This window comes from Homo sapiens, chromosome 1 (assembly GCF_000001405.40).
Source record: "Homo sapiens chromosome 1, GRCh38.p14 Primary Assembly".
NCBI lineage: Eukaryota > Metazoa > Chordata > Mammalia > Primates > Hominidae > Homo > Homo sapiens.
Genome location: NC_000001.11, coordinates 65612679 through 65635927, shown reverse-complemented (window position 1 = coordinate 65635927; position 23249 = coordinate 65612679). Strand labels below are relative to the sequence as shown.

General features: G+C 35.0%; 1 protein-coding gene across 6 annotated transcripts in view, besides 1 other annotated feature; it reads right to left on the bottom strand.

Annotated features, from left to right (window-relative positions):
* LEPR (leptin receptor) overlaps positions 1–23249 on the bottom strand; it is a 220908-nt gene that overhangs the window by 5632 nt on the left and 192027 nt on the right. For 2 of the 6 annotated variants that reach the window (NM_001003679.3, NM_001198689.2), the window contains 6 exons: positions 19704–19920; positions 17782–17964; positions 15905–16000; positions 14470–14575; positions 12947–13022; positions 500–2776 (listed from right to left, as the gene is read on the bottom strand). In NM_001003679.3, the coding sequence (NP_001003679.1) occupies positions 2759–2776; positions 12947–13022; positions 14470–14575; positions 15905–16000; positions 17782–17964; positions 19704–19920 (696 nt within the window). In that variant the 3' untranslated portion in view covers positions 500–2758. Of the gene's footprint in view, positions 1–499; positions 2777–5491; positions 5727–9693; positions 9806–12946; positions 13023–14469; positions 14576–15904; positions 16001–17781; positions 17965–19703; positions 19921–23249 lie in introns of those variants that run through there. The other 4 variants (NM_001198687.2, NM_001003680.3, NM_001198688.1 and 1 more) reach the window with 4 other exon arrangements.
* Positions 19688–19982: a silencer, noted in NCBI's record as "tiled region #5730; HepG2 Repressive non-DNase unmatched - State 24:Quies". NCBI's record gives its function as "represses a minimal TATA promoter and a strong SV40 promoter by Sharpr-MPRA in HepG2 cells {active_cell/tissue: HepG2}" and the evidence as "EXISTENCE:reporter gene assay evidence [ECO:0000049][PMID:27701403]".

The following is a 23249-nucleotide window of genomic DNA, read 5'->3' as shown; positions in this document are numbered from 1 at the left end:
TGCCTTTCAATTTCATCATCTCTAAAAATGTGCTTCATGGTATTGTGGCTAGAAATAAATTAGTGTCTGCAAGTGCTTAGCTCTCAGGAAAGATTGGTTACTGTCATTGGAAAATGCTATCTTCTGAAGATATTTCCTTCCTAATATTTTGTAGCAAATTACATTCCCATAAACTAAAAATGTTAGCCCAAAATAGAAAAAAGTGGATTGAAATGAAATGACCAAAATAACTTGTCTAAAAACAGTTAAAATAACTATGTTGTGAAATAAGATATGGTATGAAAGTAAAATAATTGTGTTGACTATTAAAAACTTATCTGCTGTATACTGAGAATCTGCTTGAGACTATCTGAAAATAAGAGCTAATAATATCATATGTAGAGAACAATGATGATGAAAGAGATGATCACAAACTGGTAAATTACTATTCCTTATAAATAACTTCACGTAAAAATATTTACTATGGACATGTGAAATGAAGACAAATACACAAGACAAATGTACATCATATTTTTTATAGAAGTGATTATATCACAAAGAAAAATCCTGCCAAACAACTACAAATCAAGAATCTGTGGGCAAAAAGCTCAATTCATACAATGTAAACACATTGAAAAAACAAATGCAAAATAAAAAAAGCTGTTGATACATCACCTTGAAAAATTAACACAACTAAATTAAGGGCTATAGAAAATGTGTTCAGCTTATATATCATACACGTCATTTAACTTGAATTTTACAATTTTTAAACTAATAGAATTCAGATTTATTACTTGAAATAATGGTATACCCAGCTGTTCTTCATAATGGCAAGCATATTCCATATACAATACAATTTATTTAGCATAGTTTTATACTCTTAAGTAAAATATGTTAGTGATTAAAAGCATAAAGGAATAAATATGCCAAGCGCAAAATATAATAATGGAATAGACTTATGTAGGTATTAAAATACTGCATAATGACAAATACTGAATTAATACAACTTTCCTATTATTCATAATCATAATATATGAAGAGAAAACTGTTCCTATGCCTGTTTTTTTTTTCTGAAAGAAATCTATGGTTTTATACATTTCTTCAAATATTTGCTTGCTCATTTTCTTTTTTCTTAAGGCTTCTACTATATATGCACTGAACTGTCTTAAAATTTAAATGAACCTACATATTAAGATTGTCAAAAGAATTAGATGCTATCAATATGAAAACAAGGAATACATACAAAAAAACCATAACCATAGTCAAGATTACATATGTCCTTCAAATGATGTGTTTGATATATTTCATGCTAAAATGTCATACTCAGTAACTGTTGAAAGCAAATACTGTAAATGCCTTCCAATGCATTCAGATAGAATATTTCACTCATAATTGATAAGAAATCTCATACTCATATACTATTGAAATATGTTTTGTCAGTGAGTTATAAAACTTTATTAAAAGTATATCCATTTAAAAAATTTCACTATATGCATCTTTTTTTAAGATTTTAGAATAATCTGGGCACATATTAAATATGTGTTGAGTGGGCAGTAATTAAAGAATGTCCTTTCATAATTTCATACTTAGATTTTACATTTCAATGACACCTATTAGAAGTCAAGAAGGGAAGAAAGACACATTCTTCCCGTTTTTGTAGAGTTCTTTTCTACTTTCAAATAAAACTACGAGTTAAATCTAAATATAAGGGATCCATATATACATATATACGCATATATAATAAATTTGAATACTGAGTTCATTAAACATAGTCGTTGGTTTGGTTTGAATGTGAGCAACGCAGCATAATTCGTGTGCTGAATTCATAAAACTAGCAAGCAGTCTGTCTGAAAGTAGAAAAGTTCTGTCCTCACCATGAACTATTCATAAAAGCTCCAAAGAGTCTCCCTTTTTTGCATCACTGCCCATTTCCCTGCCTGCCAGAGGTCTTGGATGGTTCAGTGGAAGTAAATTAGATTTAGGTCATAATTAAACAAGAAAGCTGGATTAGAAGTCGATGTTCCCTTCTGGTCCCGTCAATCTGACCTGGGTATGTAGGGTCATCCTGATATGAACTGTAACTCCCACTGTCCTGTGGGCAGCACAAACACAACTTCGGGCTTCCTTTTAACTGAAACGGAAGTTATCACTTAAGCCATTTTCAAGGATATTGAAAACTGAAATTCCCAGATTGAACAAAGTTAGATACAAAAATGCCAGGAGATATTCAAAAGAACACCCGAATAGGCTGATTTTTAGGCTGACGTGTCTATAAAGGAATCTAAAATGGAAAAGTTTGGACATAAAAATACAAACTAAATATTTTCACTGATTCCATACTTATAATCATTGTATTTTTAAAGCTATTTGTCAGATGTTGCAGTTTTAGAGTTCACCTAATTACAGCATTGTCTACTACATATTTGATGACATTTAATAGATATGTAATGACAGCAACAGCCATAATTTTCTTAATGTTTTATGACCAGGAATATGACAAATCAAAAGCCAGAAATCATGAATACTACTTTTAAACTTTAGATGATTTGAAAATTAATCACACATCCAAACTGGACTCAAATCTACATTTTGAACCCAAATTTACACATCTATTTTAAGTTCTAAATCAACATAATCCACCATATGTTAACTCTCAGAAGTTCAACTGAATTTTTTTTAGATTTGCTCCCCTTCTTCAAAATGTAAAAATCTTCTAATACTCTATAGACTGTTGGGAAGTTGGCACATTGGGTTCATCTGTAGTGATCATGATTAGACTTCAAAGAATGTCCGTTCTCTGTTTAGATAAAATAAAACAAAATAAGAAAGCAAAATAAAAAATCACTCACAAAGAAAAAGATAAAAGATTTCAAAAAACATTGTCAAGCATGGGTTCTGGACTATAAATTTTTGTGTTAGGTTACAATAATGCATCCTTTTGGGAAAGGGCAAAATTTTGAACTAAGGTGGCTTCTCCCATTTTCTTAATGAATGTTTTAATATCACACTCTAAGGACAGCTTTAATTACCCCAGGAAGGGAAAAACTATAGGGAAATAACAGAATAGGTAAAAGGAGAGAAGAACAACGAGCTGGAAAAATTTAAAGAGGGAGAACCAACAGCAATATAGGATAGTTTGGAACAAGAAAAAATAAAAGAGGAGAGCAGTGAAAAGAAAAATTTAAAAAAAATAAAGAGAAAGAAGTGCTAAAAATGGTAAAGAATAGAATCACAGAACCATTCATTACCATGGGTTTTTAAAATCTAGAAATAAGATCTCAGAAATTATATGGTCCAAGTGTCTCCCTTTTTTCTGACAAAGCAATTGAGGCTGCCAAGATTATTTGCTAAAGGTTACATGGCTAATTAGAGTAGAGGGAGGACCCTGACTTAGTTCTTTTTTTCTAGTCCAACAATCTTTCTATAACACAACAGAAGATGAAAGGTTGTCCCAAACACAAATAGGCAGAAGAACATGTTCTTTGTTTCCCTTTTACTACTCGCTGTGACAAAGTTCAGCTGATTAATTTATACTCTCTCCTGGTTCCTCATAACCTGAGGGCTATAAGGAACAAGAAAATAAACAAAACTGAGGTTACATTTTTAGGGGAGTGAAATACACACTTCTAGGCCCAGTAATGTGCATTTCTGGGCATAGGGGAGATGGCTACTTCTAAACAGAACTTCTAACTCGAAAATGCACCAGCTCTTCCACACATTTGGAAGGCCATCTAGCAACTTTAGGGATGCTTCTGATTCAGATCTGTGAGGATGGTGTTCTGGGAGGCCACGGGTTATTGAGCTGCTTTATTTGGAGGCCTAGGGCTGACTGGGGAATCTAAGATAGTTTTTAGATCCCAAGGAAAAATCTATTTGTTTCTAGCTTTAGCCCCGCTAAAGGAAGTTGTTAAATGGAGTAAACTCTTGTGAAAGCTGGCATAAATGTAGACACAGGAGCATGGCTGGATAAAAACAAACAAAAAACAGAGAATGAGAAAAATATTGTAAAATAAAGAATAAAAAGGAGTGGAACAAATTGAAAATGAATTAAAGAGGCTTAAAATATCTTTAAGGGAAAAACCCAGGTGATTTGGATTTAGAAGAAATTTAACAAATTAGGCAGAAATGCTAAGGTAAAAAGGTGCAAAACAAAGTAAGAAAGGTAATAGTTCTTTTACACTCTAAAATTTGAATTGGAAGAAAAGCAAGGCTAATGAGTTATCATAACACATTTTCTTACAACAAAAATTCAATATATGTTTAAGATTCTGATTTTTAAGGTATAAACAGAAATGGTATTCTGATTCAAGATGGCTGACTGAACAGGTTTCTCTCTTGTCTCTATAGAGATTCTGTTGGAATGGCAGTATGTAAATGAGTCAAATACAGACCCACCACAAAGAAGATGATCTGAGAGGGCTAATGAGAAGTGGGTAATTTTCATTCATTGCTAAAAGATAGAAAACAATTGGAAGAGTATAGATCAAAGAAGGTGAGCAAAGAAAGCTGAAGACCAGAATATATCCAGCTGCAGCTCAGGAGAAAGAAAATTAGCCCTGCCGTATACAGCGGAGACAGTGCGTGAAGAAATGGCACGTAAAAACACATGAAGACAAGAGAACTGTGGCTGGAAACTGGGGCCTAATGGAAGTTCTGTATATGGAATAGGGCTCTTCTACTCCTCTGCTGAACATGGAAGAGCCTCCATGTAAGAACTACCCTTCACAACCAGACTGAGGGTTTGTTCTCAAAAGCAACTAAGGAACTGTCTGGGGAGGAAGACAGCAGCCATGGAATATTGCTAGCTGAGAGCACATCTTTCCTCATCTGGCCAGAACCCTGCCTACTCACCCAGGGCAACAATCCCTGCCTATATACACTGGGCTCCCAGTCAGCCTGTCTACTGTTTCATTCCTAAACATGAAAGGAAAACAAAGGATTACCAGATATTAGGAGGAAAGTCTGAGATAATAAAAGAGAGGCCAAGATAAACAACAGGAACACACGACCTAGAAGGAACACAGAATTCAGGGAATAGAAGAAAAAAGAATTTTTAAAATAAAAGAACAAAAATCCTCGAATTGGTATTTCTAGCAACATTTAAGAAAATATGCATAAAACCAGAACAGAATACTCTGAGAAAGAATACTTGGAAATTTACAAAAATAATAGTATATAAAAATCCAACAGAAGCACTGGAAGAAGAGGGTATGGCAAGGTCTCAGAATATAACACACACACACACACACACAAAACAAAGAAACCGAAAATATGAGATAAAAGGTAAGAGATGTGGAAGATCTACGCAGAGGGTCCATCATCCAACATACAGATTCTAGAAAGAGAAACAAAGAAACAAGAGGAGAGGAAATTATCAAAGAAATAATATAATTTCTTAGAATTGACAGGAGACATGGAATTGAAAGTCTCTTCAAAAAATAACCACATTAAATAAAAAAAGAACCACTCCAGATTCATCACTGAAAATTCAAAACAACAAAAATGAGGAGAATTTTTTTTTCTTTCTTTTTTTTTTTTATTGATCATTCTTGGGTGTTTCTCACAGAGGGGGATTTGGCAGGGTCATAGGACAATAGTGGAGGGAGGGTCAGCAGATAAACAAGTGAACAAAGGTCTCTGGTTTTCCTATGCAGAGGACCCTGTGGCCTTCCGCAGTGTTTGTGTCCCTGGGTACTTGAGATTAGGGAGTGGTGATGACTCTTAACGAACATGCTGCCTTCAAGCATCTGTTTAAAAAGGAAATTATAAGTAAACAGTGAGGAGTAAAAATCACAATAGTATCTGACTGCTCAGAAGCAACACTGGATACTATATGTTAAGGCAGGAATTATCTCAATGTTCTCTTGGAAAGGCTATTTCTAAGAATTGATACTCCACCAAACTAACAATCGAGGAGGGCAGAATAAAAGGCAGTTCAGGCATGGAGAGATGGAGACTTATCGCATACTTCTTAGGAGGTTACTTAAGGGTGTAGTTAAGAAAGATGAAGGAAAGGAATCCAGGAAACAGTACTAACCAGAAACCAGTTAAGGGAAAGTTTAGAGTGATGGCTTATAGTAATTTTAGAGAAAGCCTAGTCCTGATTGAAGTAGGAGGATAGAGGAGTTCCTGGAGAGTCCACTAGAACAACACCTCCAGTAAAGATGGGGTAGTGGATAAAATAGGTAACATAACAGCATAGATTATATAATGGGAGGGGAGGGAAGAGAAGGGGAAGGAGAAAGAAAGACAGCATGAAAAGAAAGAAAGAGAGGGAGGGAGAGAGGGATGAATGGATGAAAGAATGGAGGGAGGAAGAGGAAGGAAGGGACAATTAGAAACTTAAGGAAAAGAAAAAAGATAAAAACTAAAAATGAAGCTAACTAAAATTCGGCACAATTTTGATCAACAGGTGGAATATATCTAATATATTTTTTAAAAAATTCCCCTTTGACATCGGAACCACTGAGAAGTGTAATCACATATTATTAAATACTTGGTTCAGTAAGTCACAATATTTACATAATCATAACAATGCAAATTCAGTTTATTAGTTTTTCTATTTTTAAAAATAAACCACAGACAAATTACAACACAGAACATCATATCAACCCTGACTTAAGGAAAAACATAAACTTAGATTTAGAGATTGGAAAGTAGAGGGAGAAATGGAGGGAAGCGTAAGAGTGCTAATGTTTTTATTTAAAAAAAAAAATAGCAGGGGAGCTCCAAGAAATAGTCTTCTGTTTAAAAGAACAAGAAATGGAAGTTTAAGTAGATTTTTCTGAGGTTGGAGAAATGATTACTTAAGGAATTGAAAAAAGTGACAAGACAATATGGGTAGAAACACAAGGAGGGAATAATGTGTGGGAGTAAATCCTCGTTGTAGCCAGAAATCAATAGATACCGTCTACATTTCATAGTGGCATAAGCATATGGTTTTTAGAAATAAAAAGGTGACATACCAGAAAAACCAAAAGTCAGACAGTTAACTAAAGAGGCATTTGGAGAGCAAGACTAAGGGTACGGAGGGGTGGAAAAGGGGACTGTCCTTTTCATGAAGTGGTCTTCCAAACTCAAATATTTAACTGTAACATTTCATTATTAAGTCATTCACATATATTTTTTCAAAAAATTTTAAATATTGAGAAATATCATATACATGAGAGAACAAAGAGACATATACAACCATACTTCCTGCAGCACTTTTTGTAATAAATATAAAAAAGTGTTCAAACACCTTAAACATCCACCAGTAGAGGAATAAATGAATTGTGCTATGTTTGTATAATGGAATACTACAGACCAGTCCAAATGTGTGAACTAAATTAACTACATCAACTTGGAGAGAGCTCAAAACACAATGTTCAGAGATATTTTTGGAATAATATGAAAGGTACATTAACATTTTCAGTACTTCAAAGGATTACTCTTCATTGGTCATGGATACACACATGTGAAAGTAGGAAAGTATAAATGCACAAACTAGACAAACACAGGCTACAGCATTCTTGAAATCATGGGTTCCTCCAGGAAGAGGAGGGACCGGAAATAGTGGAACAAGCAGGACAAACTTTACCTGTAGTTTTTATTTATTTTAAAAATGAAGAAAATGCAGAAAGTTTTAAAATATTGTGTTAATATAGAGCTGTTTTCATATTGTCCTATATTTTCATCTTTATATTATCCAGAAAAACTAATTTTAAAAGAGAAAAGGAAGTGGAACATACAAAAGAAAAAAGATCTGGCAGGAAATTATATTGGCAAAATTATTTTTAATCACATATGGTATTATCCTATTGTTAGCAATGTCTGGCATATAGTGGTTTTAAATAAATGTTTTCTTTTCATTTTTCTTTTAGAAATACATTCAAAATATTGGATTTTTAAAAACACATTTGATTAACATAATTATAGGTTCAGGATTTAGATTTAATATAAACCAAGGGGAAGGAAAATGACAGCTTCAAAAGTGGAATAGATTAATTTTAGGGAAGATTTTGAAAATCATGTTAGATGTCTAGAAATTTCAGGTTAAGAGTACTTTCATAATAATCAATATTCAAAATATCTGAATTTGGAGAACAAATTAAAGGAAACACTTGATATAGAAATTATTACTTCCTTTAAAAAATACTATATTTGTATTTGAATTATTTTTAAAAACAATAGGCTCCTCTGGTCTGCTTTCTTTGCAATATAGTGTGAGTTTTTTGTTTGTTTGCTTATTTATTCATCATTTGGGTTACTTTCACATTTTGGCTATTATGAATAATACTGCTATGAGTATTCTTATAAAACTTCCCATGTGGATTTGCTATTTCATTTCTATTGAGTACATACCTAGGAATGGAATTACTGGATCATATAATAATTCTATGTTTAACCTTTTGAAGAATTGTCAGACTATTTACCGAAAGAGTTGCTATTCCATTCCCACTGTCAGTATATGATAATTCTAATTTCTCTCTATTCTCACCAACACTTACTATCTGTCTCTTATTATAGCCATCCTACTGGGCATCTTGTGGTTTTTATTTGTGTTTCCCTATTATCTAATGACACTGAGGATATTTTCATTTGTGCTTCTTGGCTATTTGTGTATCTTCTTTGGAGAAATGCCTATTCACATCATTTGCCCATTTTTATGATGTTAAAATATACGTAACAATATTTACCATTTGAACTATTTTTAAGTGTATAATTTAGTGGCATTAAGCATATTAAGAAATACATTGTTAATATGGAACTGATGGCACGGGTATCAATTTGAGTCAGATAGATCTGGATTTGAACCACAGATGTTACATGGACAGGCTGGGTGAGCAAGACAAGCTACTGAACCACTCTGGGCCTCAGTTTTATCATCAGAAAATATAAGGCTATTAGCCCTATGAAATAATTTAAATAACATGAATATGAAACATAGGGTGGATGGTAAATTTGCCTTTTCCTGTTTAGTAATATAAAGTGAGTTACACTATATTATTTTTCCTTTAAAAAGCATATTTTAGGCAGGGTGTGGTGGCTCACATCTGTTAAGTCCAGCATTTTGGGAGGCTGAGGTGGGTGGATCACTTGAGCCTGGGAGTTCGAGACCAGCCTGGGCAACATGACAAAACCCCATATCTACAAAAATTAGCCGGGCGTGGTGGCACGCGCCTATGGTCCCAGCTACTAAAGGGGATGAGGTGGGAGGATCAGTTGAGCCCAAGGACGTCGAGGCTGCAGTGAGCTGAGATCTCACCGCTGCGCTCCAGCCTGGGTGACAGAGCGAGACCCTGTCTCAAAAAGAAAAGGGTACATTTTAATTGTTTAGGAGATTAAAACAACAGGCTAAAGAGAAAAAAGTTAATGAATTTTAGAAGATTTTTATCATTAATAAAATCTTTGAAGTTATATTCTCCTTTACTCTTTAAATGTTCTATTATATTCCAAAACCTAATTTATTCCTAATAGTGTTATTTATGCGCCTGGTCAGCCCTAGTAATAAACTAAGCATCTTGTGGGTTAGCTGTGCTTAAAAAATAATTTATAAGATTAGAAAGTCAAATATTTCCAGAGATTTTTAAAAAATCAGTCCTACAAATAAGAACATTCACACCCACTGTATTATAAAAATTCTTCACATTTCTTTAATTTACCAGAACTTGAAAAAATGTGGCAATATTTCAATCTACTTGTATATAAGGTCTGTCAGATGACCTGTGGCAGCATTGTGCACACCTCAGGGAGAGCAGGTGCGGCAGCGAGGTAGGACGTAGTCTACAAGCATTTCCTAAGTCAACCAACCTCCACCCAGTAGTTCCTTTGTGCCAGGCATTTTCTGGAAAAGGGAAAAATAATTTGCTGCAGGTTTAAACTGCATTTTGCTGATGTGGGCCTGATCATTTCATGGCCCTCCTGAACACTGAGAAACCACTTCATGGTGGTCCATAGGTAAGATTTCAGAGCTTAAATGCTGAAGAGAGAGTGTTTCAGCCTCTTTTTAAGTGACATTAAAAAGTAAGATGATCATTCCCTGAATTAATATATACCTATATACTGAAAATTTGGCAATTTTACTTAGATAAGTATATAGGTTTTTTGACATAAAACCCTCATATTTAAGAAAAAGTCTTATAGTCTTCCTATTTCCAGTTTGTGAATATGCTAGGTACTGCCTTCCACATGACTTAGTGTTTGCAGGTACTTAGCTGGACACCACATCTCTGCCTCAAAACCTAGTTAATGATTGTTCATCTACCAGATCTTGGCCCAAATGTAATTTGCTTAACTTTATCCACTCACCCCCACGGATACACTAAGCCAGGTTCCCACATTATAAGCGCTCAGCACAATGGAACCCCTTCTTTCACAACATGTAGTTTACAACTATAAGGTTGTGATTGGATCATTATATGTTATATACATGTAACAAAATTTCTCATGTGCCCCATAAATTTGTACAAAAAAAAAGTAATGCTATTTCCATGATAAATGTATTAATGATTATCATCCCCATTAAACTGTATACTCAGGAGCACATAGTGTTTTTCTTATCCTTATAATGCCAGGGCATACTATAGTGACTGGTATAGGGTAAGTATTCAATCATATTGAATATATGGATGAAATGAATAGAAAAGAACTATTTTAGAGAGGCAAAAGGAGACAAGCTCTTCCTATTCTACTTTCAACCCAGCCACTCTTCTCTGACCTCACTGTCTTATTTCTCATATGGTAAGAAAAATCTGTTCTCCCAGACCCTAGCAACAGCCAAGCCTTACATATAAATACTCACCATGTGCTTGTTGAACAAATGAATGAACGACATATATATATCTCTCTCTGAAATATCATCACAACTACACAAAATGTCACTGTATAAATTCTTAGTAAAAGATAAATGAGAGAAAAAATATTTACTTGAAAAACTCGGCAACACTGTTTTAATGAAAGAAGACTCTGGCTTAGTGAGCAACAGCACAGGTGAGGAGTATATAGGAGTGTGGCTGATTAGACTCAGGCAAAGCGAAGTTTCTATAAAAAGAATTGTTCGTATATAAAACAACACTACTGCTGCTTCTGAAGACAGGGCATTCTTTCTCCTGCTGAAAAATTACAATTCAATCTTTTTCTTTGTTCATTATGTCTACAATATTAGTTGTTTACTTATTCATTGATAAGCTGTAGAACAGTGTTTTTCTAACTGCAAATCATAGGCCATTCGAATGTTGTGAAATCAATTTAGTGTCTTGCAACCAGCATTTTTAACAAATAAAATAGAATTTTAAAACATTCTATTTCAAGCAAGAAGTAAAGCTGCTTTGCGTATCTTTCATTTCGGTCTTGCATATCTGTATCTATGGTGTACTAGGTTGGAAGGTAAAACGTATTTATACATTAAAAATGCCAAAACTGCAATTACTTTTGCACCAACCTAAGTTTTTTTCACTGTGGGTCATGGCGAAGAAGAAAGAAAGAAAAAGAAGCCACTGCTATAGAGAACAGCTGCTATTAGAACAGGCTCCAAAGCCAGACAAACTGGTAAGCTAATCTTGCCTCTAAAACAAGTTACCGAACCACTATGAGCTTCAGCTTTCTCTTTTGCAAAATAGAGAGAATAACACTTGTCCCATAGGGTAACTGAAAGAATAATAATAGTAATATAAAATACATAAATATGTACAATAATAATTAATATTTGTTGAGACCTTACTATGTCACAAGTACCATCTTCTTTAGTCCCGCAAACAACCTAATAAGGTAAGCAGCCTATTTCACAGAAGAGGAAACTGAAACATTGAGAATGTAAGTAAAAATCTTAATAAATGTAAGAATATGTATCTCAGTGCTTTGCACATAAAGAACAGCAGGAGGAGTACTACAAATATTTGTGATGGATAAAATACAGTCTTTGAATTCAGAGCACTATCCACAATTAAAAAAACAGTACAATGATCTAGGAACTTAAAGGGGGTAGAAATTCTTTTGAATTACACTGGTTAAAGGAAGGCTTGAGGAAAGAAGGGCCTAGAGCAAGATCTTCATGTACAAGGAAGGCTCTGTGAAGGTGGATGGGAACAGTAAAGGTATCATCAAGGCCCAGGGATAGAAAAAGTCGTATAGGTAGGTTGATAACAGATTGTAGAAAGAGGTCCTTGAGTACTATTAATAGCTTCAGGGGGCTTTAGTTTATATCTTGTATTCAAAAGGAAACCATTGAAAACTTTTAACAAGTGACTAATGATAAAGATGCAATCACCAAACCTGGATAATAACCTCCAAATAAGTATTGTTTAAAAATCTGTATATTTTGACTTGACTGAATTCTATTTTTCCAGTTTTATGAGTGGAAAGCTAGCTTTGCTTCAAGGGACATTATGAGAATTAATAAAACAGTCACTAAATTTAGAGCTTTCTGAAAAATCCTACTATAGAAGTAAATACAAATTATTTTATTATAGTTGACTAACTCTCATAAAGTACTTGTACTTGAATGGAACTTCTGCATAAATATAAGTTTTATTATGATCACTGCATTTTTCAGATTGTAATGTTTGAGGATTATATAATTTTCTAATTTATTTAAATAATTATGGAGATAATTATAGACATTAAAAATATTGATTCCAGCCTTTTGCCTAAATACAGTTTATACCAAAAAAAGTGTATCCAAATATCTGTTCTCCATCAGATTGACCCTTAACTTTCTAATATTTATTTTATTATGTACTGTGACACAGAAGCAACATATGTATATTGTGAACTCTCATACGATAAACTATGCGCTGAAATTTGTTTCTTCCTGATTTCAAATCCCTGCATCCTGCTATTCTTGAAAGTATATAATAACAGATATATTAAGATGAATTGAATAAAATATGACCTTTTAAATCTTAAAAATGCTTAATGCTCTATAAGTCATATGGCGTCTAGATTGCAATCGTATATATTCTGGGTTAAAAAAAATTGAAAAAGCAACCTTCTGAAAATTAAGTCCTTGTGCCCAGGAACAATTCTTGGGGTTCGGAACATCTTCCCAAAATAGCTTTTTCATTCTACAAAGGATAAACAGGGCATCAAAATTAGAGAAAAACATCCATATTGAAAATGTGAACAGTTAGTGAACAGACAAGCTAGAAATTAGTCCACCAGATCAACTATGCCTCCGTAGGGTCAGATGCATTTTCACATGCTAGCCCATGAAGATTTCTACCAAACTTTTATCTAGACCCAAGCTGAAAATCACTGTAATAATAGAAATAGCCAATACTTATTGAAAGCTGTGTGCCAAGCACCATGCTAAACACTGGATAGATTTCTCTCAAAGAAATTGAAATATTAAAAATGGTCACAAAGTGGGTACCAGAAAAAATTCCATTTGATGTGGCCCCATCAACTCACTTAACTACAAGATAAATTCAGATTCTAAAATCTCCTCTCTCTCTTTTTTGCCTGAAGACGATGGTTTCTACAGAGATTTGGCATGTGTAAAATAACCACACTGGACTTCTCAGCACAGAGAGTATCATGGCACCCATGCCACCATCCACGGAACTCAGGCATTTGCCTGACAAGCCAAGCAGACTGGAGCCACACAGTGCTGATCTCTAAAAAGCAGAGTGCCTGCTGATCATAAATGAACTGACTGCTCCAGGTCACCACTAAAAGGCTACTTTTACCACCCACTTCACCACAAAACGTCCTTAACCCAAACTGCAGAACTCTGAAAGCCATTTTTGCCACCTCCAAGAACATACTGCTTAGGATTTCCTGTTATAAGCTTGTTGTTTCCTGAATGTATGTACATTTTTTTTAAAAAACTAAATTCTTCCTTGAAGTTATGTTGTCCTTGACAGAGCAGGAGCATCACCATCATGGACAAGCACCTCATATTAAAATTCCCCTTAATCAAAAACCACCTAAATCCAAAGGGCATCAGCCTAATGGCTAAGGTCAGCATTACCATAAACCACAAATAACATCTCCAACCAGAAACATTCCATCCTCCCTGACCAGGCACATGCCAGCCCCAAGATAACCCTCCCCATCCAGCTGGAAAGATGTCAGCCCCAAGATAACCTCCCCTCCTCCCAGAGACATTCCAACCCCGCCATAAACTTCTCCCTCACACATAAACATTCCAAGCTTGTGATAAGCCCCCTCACCCTAAAACCAATACATACTCTTAGTCTGTAAGAGAAAGGGGCTCCTGAACAAAATTGGCCAGAAGCCCCTCAGGTTTTATCTAAAGAAAACCTGTCTTTAACTGTTAAGCTGTGTTTCGTGTTTCTTTCCTCATTCTTTAACTCTTACAGTCCTAGCAAAATGGAATGCCATTTCCTCACAACAGGCCTTTCCTTTTTATGCTATCTTAATTGTATACAGACTACATATAAAAGCACTTAGAAGACTTTAATATTCCTAATTTAGAAGGTTTTAAATCAGGGTTTGAATACGCGTAAGGACTTTTGCCGTAAAGATTCTTAACCTCAAGTACAATACCTTTGGTGTGATATTAATAATGTTCCAAGCAATAAGATGGAAGAGGAAATAATTACTGGCACAATTACATATAAACCTGCATCACTCTGGTGTTTTTCAATATCATCTGAAAAAGAAATACAATTTACACAACTCAGAAACTTGAGGAAATATTAATTTCTTTCTGTATCAAAAATTATAGTAGACATTTTCTGAATTCATCACAAATCTCTTATTACCTTCAAAAATATAAAAATAAAAAATGAAGATAAAAATATGTTGTGATCACATTAATAAAATACTTATTATTTTGTTCAGCATCATATCTACTGTAAATTAGCAAAATATTTTTTCAAATTTATTTATTTGCCATTCCTCTCTACCTGATCATTTTTACATTATAATGGGCCAAAGTGTCAAACTTGTTATGATGACTGTCTCAGTATCTACTCCTGGAGGACCCAACCTTCCACACCTGCCAATCTCTATCTTGTTCACTCCACACACACTGATTTCCTTGCTGTTTCTTGAACCACCAAGCATCCCCACTCTTTAGGGGCTCTTCACACACTGTCCCTTTGCCTGGAATGCTTTTGCTATTTGTACAGTTATGTCTTCACTGAACATCATTGATAGGCTCTTGGAAACTGCAATGTTAAGTGAAATGGCAATGTATAACAAAACCTTTTTTTTCTCATCAACATTATAATGAAACTACCTTGAACAAAATGATGTTATTCAAGGACCTCCTGTAGTTCATGTTGCATAAAGTTGCAGTTTCCAAGAATCTATTGACTATATCAAGTAGGGTCTTACTGTACTTGCAAGGTTTTACTCGAATATCATCCACCTCCATAGAAAGACCATTTCTGGCTATCAACTAAAGTGCCACATTTAATGCCATCCCTTTATCTTGCTTTTGTTTTCCTTCATGGCACTTATTTCTATCTGACATTATATAATTATTTTTTGCCCATCACTCTCAATTAGAGCACTGGTATTTAAGATCCATAAGGGCAGAAACTTATGTTCACTATTCAATCCACAGTGCTTAGAACAATGCTCAATTAATATCTGTTGGATAATACATGTATGAATTTTTTTAATGATTTTTATTCTAACAACAAATGAAATGTTTATCTCTTGAAATATCATTGCTAGGTTGCTTAGATTTGAAGACAATTTAAAAAGTAATAACAAAATCAAAATGTTGGTATTCCAAGTACAGTAAGATGAATCAGAAATATAAGAGGCCCAGTGACTCTATTTCTATAGCTCCAGTTTTATTTTTAGAGGAAAAAAATATTTCCTTTGGAACCTCACCATGAAAAATCTACAGAAGACTTTGGACTCTTCCATGATTCTATCAGAAAAAGAATAATCAGATGGCAATATTACTGCAAACAAATTAGGCACACACATTGGTGTAAAAGGAAACTAAAATTATAATTTTTACCTTGAGTGAAACTATTAATTATCTTTGGTTTTCCCACTCCTTCCATAAATATTGGGTAAAGACTGAACTGGTACTTCTCAATGGGGATAAAATGATCTGAGGAGAAAAATACGTAAAAGGCTCATTTATACAAAATTAATAGTAATGAGTGGAACATACATTTTAAAAAAGAATTAAAGTGACTATCATATATTTCCAAACATAGAAATTACTTATTATTTGTGGATTAAATTATCAAGGGAGTTTCAAAACAAACTTAAGCACTTCTAATTATCTAGTCATGACAATAGTTTTCCAAATATTTTTCTAAAAATCTTAGCCAGAGACAGAAGATTGCAATTTTTCAAAGGCATGTTCCAGTGATAGCCAATTTGTTCAAGTGCAGGGTGTATGAGCTTTTTCTTTCCTTCATTTCCTTTTCCAGAGCAATATGTTCTACTACCTCTCCCTTACCCCCAAAGTGGGCAATACTCCTTTTTTTAATAGGAATTCAGCTTACTTAGTTTCCCCATTCCATTCAAGGTAGCTGGGAGACTAAAGTCTTGTGAAATCCTATGCAAACAAAATGGTGGTGGAGACCACGAGACCCCTTGCAAGATCTGGGATTTTGATCCATGGAAAATGACCAACCCTATAGCAAAGCTCCAGATGGATCCATCATGATTTTCACAAATGCTAATAATATATGAATATTCTTCTAGAAGAATATATCCAGAAGAAGAGAGATCTCTGTGAAGCCTAAATTTTATATCCTCATGGTTTAAAGAAAAGCACAGAGAGAAACTACCTGCGCATCAGTGGTGATGAACTAAATTCAGTTCAACAATTTGTAAATAAATTTACCCTGATGCTAAATTCTAGGTCCCTGGAATAAAATAATGGTATGAGTCCTTAGAATGATATTGTATAATAAGATCATAGCAATCCTTAGCTTCCCTAGTTAACTTTCCTCAATCCTTACTCAGACTTAGAAATGCTGTCTTGTGCACTTATACTTTGTGCTTGACTCACCTCCTGGAATAACTGGTCTAACTTTGGGAGAATACCCTGGTCTAGGTCACCCAGTCCTAGCTCCTCAGACCTTCAGGCTAGCATTCCCACTCATTGTTAGTGGCATTATAAGTTGGTACACAGTTTGAGGAAACAATTTGGCAGAAGATATCAGAAGCTGTTAAAAAATGATTTAAGAAAAGATAAAGCTGGAAGCAACATAAAGAATCTCAAACAGTTTAAGTGGACTTTGGAATAAAATGCTATATCATTAAAAATAATGGTAGAAAGAAATGAGGAGAAAATTGATATGATATGATAGGATAGGATATATGATATGATATGATATGATAACCCCTGTATAAAATGTTAAAATGAGAAAATGTCAAAGGAAACAGAATTAGGCTGGGTGTGGTGGCCCATGCCTGTAATCCCAACACTTTGGGAGGCCAAGGCAGGAGGATCACTTGAGCTTAGGAGTTCAAGACCAGCCTGAGCAACATAGTGAGACCTTGTCTCTACCAAAAAAAAAAAATTTTAATTAGCTGGGTGTGATGGTGTGTGTCTATAGTCTCAGCTACTCAGGAAGCTGAGGTGGAAAGATAGCTTGAGCCCAGAAGGTTGAGGCTGCAGTGAGCCATGTTTGTTCCACTGCACTTTAGCCTGGGCAACACAGAGAGACCCTGCCGAAAAGAAAAGAAAAGAGAAGAGAAGAGAAGAGGAAGAGAATTAAATGTTTTGATAAAGGTTATAGGATTATATGTATTAGGATGGTAGTATCCTCTATATTTTTGAAGTTTTCATTAACTGGCTATATTAATAGAATTAATAATCTGTAGTGTCATATTAATCCATGAGAGCAACTTACTAAAGTATAGTAAACTTACCATGGATATAATACTTCTTAACAGATGAAGAGATTCTAAGCCATTTTATTTCACCATCTTCATTAAGATTTTTCCACTCAATAATAAAATACATTAGCTTGTAATCACTGGGTGATAGTATCCAGGAAACAATCACACAACTGCTGTTTAAAGGATAAGCACTGAGTGACTGCACGATATTTACTGAGGGGAAAAGAAGGAAATTAATTTTTAAATTAAAAATTAATAAAAATCTACTAATACTCTTGAGGAACTTATAACCTACTAAAGGGAATAAGGAAGAGAAGACAGACAATTTACACAAATAAATATGATACATGACAATTACTTTTGCATCATGAGAGTCATTTAAACAGAGAGATATGGGAATAGATGACATTGAAGAGAAACATGATACTCCCTAAAACCTTAAAAAGCAATTTTTTGATATATTCAAAAAGGCATTCTCATATGGAATACTGCACAAGCCTATTAACCATCCTCTCCCACTGATGGAGTGATACTCTCAAAGCACAAATCTGTTCATTTTAACACCATCTGCACAGCATCCCACTTAAAAGCCTCCAGCGGATTTCTACATTTGAGGGTAAAATTCCTATCATGCCTGCAAGGCCCTGAGGGCCAAGTCTCAACGCACCTCTCTGCCTTCCATGATTTCCCACACCAAAGCCACCCTGGTCTTTCTTCATTTTCTATCCTGTGCCATAGACTTTTGATCTGGCTGCTCTTGTTAGGAGCCAATGCTTTTCCTGCCCTCCCCTACATCTTTTGGGGAAGTTTAATTCCTACTCACATTTCAGATTTCAGTTCAGTACCACTTCCTCAAGGTGGCTTCTCTGAATCTCAATGCCAGGTCAGGTTCCTTTTTTTCATTCCTTTCATAAAATTATATTCCTTTCCTGCAGGCCCTTATCTCTCAGTTTGCAAATAGACATTCACTTGTATGATTATTTCATTAATACCTGTCTTACCTATTAGGCTCTGGACACTCCAACCATTATAGTTTTTCTCACATTACAATTCCCACTACCTACCCCACTGACGCATTCTACAGATATTTCTAGAATATATATACTTAGGAAATGTTAAGCATAAAACACTGAGCTGGGTGCTATGGAACTCGATGCTTAACACTATAAATACAAAGGTAATCATAATGTAAACAGGACATAAAATAAGAAAGACAGGAAGCACTCTGAGATTTAAAGAAGAGATAGGGCATATTCAATTAAAGCAATAAGCAAAGATTTCATAAAGGAGGTAACAGTTGGAAAGGCCTTTATAGATTGGTAGAGACACAGAAAATTTGTATTTTCCATTAAAAATTTACACTTTGAATATGTAATCTAGACTAGAAATTCCTATTGAAAGTGGGTCTCAATTCTCCGATTAATCAGATATATCAAAATTAATGCAAGAAGGTTTGCTACTCACATTCAATGAAGTCCATAGTAATTTTAAGTCTCAGCAATTAACCTGCATCCATATAACATGTCATGCTATTACTATTTTACATAGTGTTAAATATATATTTAATATGATATATACTTATTTTTACATATTTATATGTGTGTATGTATGAATATAAATATATACATGTATATGTACATAGGGAGAGAGAATTATTGACCTAAAGATCTCCATTGGTCCAAAAGATTTAAGTATTAGATTCACTAAAACATTCTCATATATTATAACACCATTACAACAATGTTCTCCCAAATGAAAGCTCAAGGACTGTATTATGTGATCATTGTACAATGTACTTTGTTATTTTTCCAGACAAAGGAAATGAAAGGTGAAAGAGAGACTTTCAGATGCAGAGAATTGCAGGCTGCTTGAAAGATAATTTAAAATAGGAGAGTTTGCAAAAGTTAAATATTAAAAGAGGCAATGGATTACCACTCTGTACCTCTTCTTACCTTTGCTCATAGGCCATGAAAAGGTTAAATTAAAATTTGCAACAGAAGCACCAATTGAATTGATGGCCAGAACCGTAACAGTATGTGCTTGCTCTGTCCACAGGAAAGTGAATTTCGTGTGATTTCCCACATCTTCTGACCATGTTCCATTGCAGGAAGTATGATGGTTTATCACATATCTCTGAACACTGCACAATGAGTCATTTTTCATCAGGGGCTGTAGTAAATATAGAAATTGATTAGTTTAAGGGCTGCAGTGCTTTTTATACTAACTGAGCTCACATAACTCTCATTCTACATTTCTTATTAGGAGGCAGGGGCCAGATCAGGGCAGGTACTATTACAAGGCTGAGAGGCTGGGGAGATGGGTGGGATAGAGTTTGCCTCTGCCACAGTCTCCATGAAGGTGTCTGGATCGTTATGGAGCATAGCAAACTTATTTTCCCCTTTTTGAGGTTTTTTTCTTAAGGCCCAGAGAATAAATCACTTGAAGATAATAAAGTAGGGATATGATCAAGACACTTTTCTACCAAGAAGTTTCACTCTAATTTTAGAGAAATGAAAGACATAAGGAGTAGAGAGTTTCCTCATCTAAAAAGCAAACAAGGAATAACCCTCAGAAAATGAAAAGCAACAACAAGAGCTGTGAAGGTGTTAATCATCATATATTGATCATAGTAAGATTTGTCATTCATTTTCCTTTCCTCTGATACTCTTGGAAGATTATCTAGAATGTAAGAATGTCTGCAAAGGTTAATGAGTAACAGAGGCCATCAAAACAGTGTCTATGGCACCCCAGAATTTCTGTCATATAATTAAAAATAATAATATCAGGTCATTAAAGATCCGAATGTAAAATAAGTGTCTAGTTCAATTCTATTCTTATATTCCACAGAGGTTAACAGTGTACCCCATTTCCCCAATCAACTTCACCTATGGCAGGTAAGATTAAATGCTGGCAATCCCTTATAAAGACAGAGAAGGCTGGACTGTATATCATAGACTAGAACAGTACATCTCAATTTCTTGCCGGTGAGATGCCTCTAAGTTAGAAATGGCAGAGAAAAATAAACACATATACATGTATCCCTGCAAAACTTGGAATCATCTGGATAGGTTGAAAGTAAGATTTTAGCAGCCACCGCAAGAAAGAAATGTTTCAAAGTCATGCAAATGTTGCATTTTATTTGAAAAAAAAACATGTCAGTTTTAATGAATACTTTTTTGGTAACCATCAAGTAAGAGAATGTTAAGCTTCCTTACTTTCTGGTACTACAAGATCCTCCAGGCTAATCTCGTATATTTTCTGCCCCAACCCTAAAATTAGCCATTTCTTCCAATAGCCCTTGTTTCTATTATTGAACGATGGTAATTAGAAACAAGTCTGGGCACATGTCTTACTACTGGATGTCATTACTTTTAGGCCCTCTTACCTTACAAATCAAGAAAATGTACATGTATCCTAAACCAGAATCTAGCTATATCTATATTAAGCTAGATATAAGTTCATACCTATATCCCCAACTCTAATTCATTGCCACATGGATCATCCTGTGCTTGTGTGTAACCTCCCAATCCAACAGTGAGAAATCTGGGTCCCACCATCCACCATCCATTTACTTGCTTGTCCCCTTCCAGAGTACATGTAGAGCAGTACCATAATTGTTAGCCCATAGCCCTGTGAGAACTGTATCAACTAGAGTACAGTGCTTATGTACAGTTTCTTTTGCCTTTAGTCTTAAGATTCCACACATTTCCAACAACTCCACTCAAGTTCCAAAGTGGCCTTTTCTCCCACCACCTTCAGTGAAGTTGCTTCATACACTTGTAATACAGGTAGATTCCTTTGTCACAGTTTACAGTCAATCCTGGGATCCTTCAACCTCCTAAATGATTTTCTTTTTAATCTACATGCATTAAGATTCACTCTTTGTGCTATGAAGTTCGAGGAGTTTTGGCAAATGCATAGTGCTATATACCCACCATTTCAGAAGTATACAGAATCGTTTCATTTTTGAAGGATATCTTAGTTGCCTCTAGTTTGGGGTGAATATAACTAAAGCTGCTTAAACATTCATGTGCAAGTTTCTATGTAGACTTAAGTTTTCAAATCAGCTGAGTAAATACCTAGGATGCAATGTTGCATCATGTGGTTGGTAAGGCTATGTTTAAATTTGTAAGAAATTACCAAACTGGCTTCCAAAGTGGCTGTACCATTTTGCATTTCCACAGCAATGAATAAAAGTTCTTGCTGCCCTGCATCCTCACCAGCAATTTGTATTGTCAGGTTTTTTTTTTGGATTTTAGCCATTCTAATAGATGTGGAGTGGTATCTTGTTTTAATTTGCAACTCTTTAGTGATGAATGATGTTGAACATCTTTTAATATTCATATTTGTCATCTGTATATCTACTTTGGCTAGGTTTTTGTTCAGATACTTGGTTTTTTTTTTTTTTTTTTTTTTTGAGACGGAGTCTCGCTCTGTTGCCCAGGCCGGACTGCGGACTGCAATGGCGCAATCTCGGCTCACTGCAAGCTCCGCTTCCTGGGTTCACGCCATTCTCCTGCCTCAGCCTCCCGAGTAGCTGGGACTACAGGCGCCCGCCACCGCGCCCGGCTAATTTTTTGTATTTTTAGTAGAGACGGGGTTTCACCTTGTTAGCCAGGATGGTCTCGATCTCCTGACCTCGTGATCCACCCGCCTCGGCCTCCCAAAGTGCTGGGATTACAGGCGTGAGCCACCGCGCCCGGCCCCTGTTGAATCTTAAAGATTTCTTTGTGTAATTTGGTTATAAGTCCTTTATCAGATGTGTGTTTTTGCAAATATTTTCACCCAGTCTGTGCCTTAACTTTTCATCCTCTTGACAGTCTTTCCCAGATCAGAAGTTTTTAATTTTAATAAAGTCGAACTTACCAGTACTCAAAAATTAAAATAAAAAACCCCACAATGACGGGGGCATGTCAAAGGAACATGAGTCAATTAAAAGAGCTCCCAATGACTGAAGCAGGAATATTTTCAGCAACAAAATAAAGTAGTATTGGATTACAAACCAAGTCTAAAATAAATGTTCATTGTCCATACTAATATAAATAAATGATTGAATAAATAAAATAGTTAATGTGGGAGAACAGACAAATCTCCCATGCAGAAGAACACTAAATAATATATGTAGGTCCTCTACCTTCAAGTAGGTGGAACATGACTCCTACTCCTTAAGCATGGGGACTTCATTTTTAAAACTAAAATGGAGAAAGGAGAAAAAAGAGTAACTTTCCAGTGGGAAGCCAGACAACACTACCTCAGCCAGACAACACTACCTCAGCCAGACGAGCAAGGTTAACATCAACTATGGTAAGTCACATTGGTAGAATGTATCCTTAATATGATGTGATGGAATGGCATTTTACATCTGTGATCTTCCTCCCCCAAACCCATAACCCTAAATTAATCATGAGAAAACATTAGACAAAACCCATTTGATGGAGATTCTACAAAATACCCAACCAGTACTTCTCAATTGTGTCAAGTTCATAAAAACAAAGAAG